At 45.4% G+C, this 3,980-nt stretch overlaps 1 annotated feature.

Annotated features, from left to right (window-relative positions):
* Positions 1,714-3,299: an enhancer, noted in NCBI's record as "VISTA enhancer hs1247". NCBI's record gives its function as "enhancer in: other[10/16]" and the evidence as "EXISTENCE:transgenic organism evidence [ECO:0001131][PMID:17130149]".

Genomic DNA, 3,980 nt, shown 5'->3' with positions numbered 1-3,980 from the left:
CCCCACCCCCCCAGCCTCGCTGCCACCTTGCAGTTTGATCTCAGACTGCTGTGCTAGCAATCAGGGAGACTCCGTGGGCATAGGACCCTCCGAGCCAGGTGTGGGATATAATCTCCTGGTGCGCCGTTTTTTAAGCCCGTCGGAAAAGCGCAGTATTAGGGTGGGAGTGACCCGATTTTCCAGGTGCCGTCTGTCACCCCTTTCTTTGACTAGGAAAGGGAACTCCCTGACCCCTTGCACTTCCCGAGTGAGGCAATGCCTCGCCCTGCTTCGGCTCATGCATGGTGCGCTGCACCCACTGACCTGCGCCCACTGTCTGGCACTCCCTAGTGAGATGAACCCGGTACCTCAGATGGAAATGCAGAAATCACCCCTCTTCTGTGTCGCTCACGCTGGGAGCTGTAGACCGGGCCCGTTCCTATTTGGCCATCTTGGCTCCTCTATCCAGCACTGTTGTTTTTAATAAGCTTTTATATGCATTTTATTTTATCCTCAGAGAATTTTGAGGTAAACAATATAGGTATTATTCTTCTCATTTTCAGTTAATAGAAAATCAACTTTAGTGGATGGGCATGCCTGTAATCCCAGCACTTTGGGAGGTTGAGGTGGGCAGATCACGAGGTCAGGAGTTCGAGACCAGTCTGGCCAACATGGTGAAACCCCGTCTCTACTAAAAAAATACAAAAATTAGCCAGGCATGGTGACATGTGCCTGTAGTCCCAGCTACTTGGGAGGCTGAGGCAGGAGAATGACTTGGACCCAGGAGGCAGAGGTTGCAGTGAACTGAGATCGTGCCACCGCACTCTAGTCTGGGCAACAGAGCAAGATTCCGTCTCGGAGAAAAAAAAAATCAACTTTAGTGAATTTGATGTGATTTGTTTAAGATCACACACTCAGTTATTGAGCGAGGACTAAAACCCATCTTTTATTCAGACTCTTACAGGTGCCTCTCAGTAAATATTTGTTTATTGAGTGAAATCCAGATTTGCTTATTGCTTTCTGTTTTCTCTTTGTATTCTTTGTAACTGAAACATATATGGATATGGAGAGATTTATAAACATATTACAAATGGCTCATTAAGAGACTTAGTTATATTACAGATTATTCATTGTTACACACACACACACACACACACACACACACACACACACTACATGGGATCAACTAACGACTATGATTTTGTAGAATTATCTGTACTGCATATGTTTAAATACATTTTCCCAAACATTTCCTGAGGAATGTATGTGCGCTACTGACTGGGAGAGGTGCTAGGGACACCACAGAAACAGAGACAAAGCCCCGCCCTTATGAAACAGCAAGAGAGAATGAGGTGAGGAGCAGGCAACTGAACAGTTAGAATTCAGTGTTTTACAAAGTGATAGAACCATGGAGAGGATACAGAGTGGGCCCCCAAAAGGTCAGAGGGAGCTGTAAAGCTCTTTGTGGAGGACGTAGAGTTCCGACTGCTGTTCTGGAAAGATGAATAGCTCAGCAAGGGAAAATAAAAGGAAGGAATTTCAGGCAGATGAAGCTAAAGCAGAAAAGGCATAGTTATGTGATGCTTTGCAATCTTTCTGGGGAGCAAAGTGGACAGTGGGTGGGAGGCAGAGGGCTTGCTGGGAGGGATAGGCGCTGCACCCCAGGTACTTGCCACCTCTTCACTGGGCTCCTTTAGCCAGTCAGTCCTGCCTCTCCAGTGAGATGGCTCTCCTTGTTGCTTTGGTCTCCTTCCAGGCTGTGCAGAATAGAAAACAAGGCACATAGTCATGTTGGCAGGTTCTGACTATTATGCAGTGATAGGAAATTAGTTTTGCTCTATGGGACTGAGGTTCTTAGAGCCCAGATGTAAAGGTATTAAAGACAAGACAGAAACTGGAAGGGAAGAAAAATCCCTTGTACTGGATGTTTGCTGTGTGCCAGAAACCAAGACAAACTCTTTTGCATACAGTTTTGTATTTCCTCTTTGCAATAAACAATGCTGGTACACTCAGCTATCACCATTTTACACTTGGGGATACTGAGGCTAACGAAAGTCAATCAAGGTCACACAGCTAGTTAAATGGGGTGCCTAGGATGTTTTGGGGGTGCCTAGGATGTTTTGGGGGTTCCAAGCTGAGAAGGCTTTGGCTTAATTGGTTCTGATGTCAAAAATCAGTTGCTGCTTGTAGCGGGGCAAGATTTAGTACTTCCCTGACATGTGAAATGGAGTCTGTGCACTGGGGGATGACCAAACATTTATGTCGTCGCCCGCTATTAACTCTCTGGGCAAGGAAACACGCGTCTCCATTTATACTGAAAGTCTTGGCGGTCGTGCTGAGGCAGTGCTGGGGCATGTGTTTCTCTGTGTCCATGGCAGGAGGCCACACGCCATGCCTAGGTGCACGTTAACATGACATAAATGTTAATGTCCTGTTCTAAAACCAAAGCCTGCAGGAGAGAGGAAATACCACCCCCGCCGTACCCAGGCCCCGGTGTTTGGATACTGCAGTCTATATTTTGACTCCAGAGTGTGATGACTATGTAACTTTTCACAAGGATTTCATTTTTTCCCTGTCAAGCCACATTATTTTAAGGGTGACAATAACTTGGCTGTAAATGAGCTGAAACCATCAAGGTGATAAATGAGTTTCTGGGGGAGGGAGGCATCGCCTGGCCTATACTTTGCAGGACCACACACCTCCGTCATCCTTCTTCCACCTTCTCAGAACAATGTGTCATAGATCTCCCCTCCCTGCGTCCCCCAAGGCCCCTTCCTTGCCGGCCTCCTGCTTCTTAAGGCAATAGAGAACCGTAAGCACTTGACTTTGGAAAATATACCGTATTTCACAGAGTTTGGGAAGTGGGGAGAAAGAGTTGCTGTTTTCCTTTGGCTGTTAGCAAGGATCTGACTTATAAAACTGCCTTGGAGACAACTCCTCACCTAGTTTATTTTCTCTGTCAGCCAGGTCTGTCTCTGAAGTGGGGCTACCACTGGTCAGCTCAGTGGTCAGCCTGCTTCTTTGAGTTGAAATCCAAGAGTTATGTCCAGAAGCGCCTGGTGAGTTGGGGAACTGGATTTCTTGTTAAGAAAGATGACTTTCATACTATTTTACTGGGTGGAGCAGGGGGTAGGAGGCAGGTATGCTGTGAATTTATATACAGAATCTCATTCGCTGTTCACTCATTTAACATAGCCAGATGAAGCAATTTGCTAAGGGATTTTCCCTGAGACTTAGCACCAGGATTTGAACCAAGGGCTGTTGTGCTCCGAAGCTTCTTTTACTGCTTTCTCCTTTTTGTCCAGTTCCCCATTCAAGTCAAGATAACCCCCATGCCATCAAGTACTGGGAGAAAGTGAGCTCACTGCCCATTCAGTGGTAAGGAAACACTCAGTAACAAGGCTTTGTGGTGGTCAAGAAGTGTAAAGCAGGTTAGCACTGCCTCACTTGAAGCTATGAACTTTCTATTTGCTATTATTATATTTGTTCCTACTTGCTATTCATATATTCCTATTTGGTATTTCTATTATGTCTCTGGTTGGGAAGGGAAGAAGGACTTAGAGAGTGGATTGACTTCACATATTGCAGCTTGTGCCACCAAGCAAAGCACAAAGGCTTCGCGCTGGTTAAAAACCTTTGTGTCTAGTAGGCCAACGACACAGGCAGTTAGAGCAAAGAGGAGTAGAAGTCAGCTGACAGGTGTGGCAAAGGGATGGCCTCTCTGTTAGAACAGCCACTGTCAAGGTAGAGTTCCAATGCTACGAATGGCTGAAAAAGCAGTGTAGTTTATTGCTTTCCTCTTTTACTTGTGTTATTTAAAAAAAAATCTTTCATGAAATTTGAATTCTAAAGTTACAGGTTGAGGTTTAAGTCCATTAATTAGAATGTATATAGTACAATTATTTGTTTACATTGCTTAACACATTCACTAGACTTGGAGCAGCTTGAGGGCATAGAGTTTGTCTTATTCAGTTGTCTTTCACTAGGACAGAGGCACATGC

The sequence above is a fragment of the Homo sapiens genome, chromosome 4, assembly GCF_000001405.40.
Source record: "Homo sapiens chromosome 4, GRCh38.p14 Primary Assembly".
NCBI classification, from domain to species: domain Eukaryota; kingdom Metazoa; phylum Chordata; class Mammalia; order Primates; family Hominidae; genus Homo; species Homo sapiens.
This window is presented reverse-complemented; position numbering and strand designations above follow the sequence as displayed.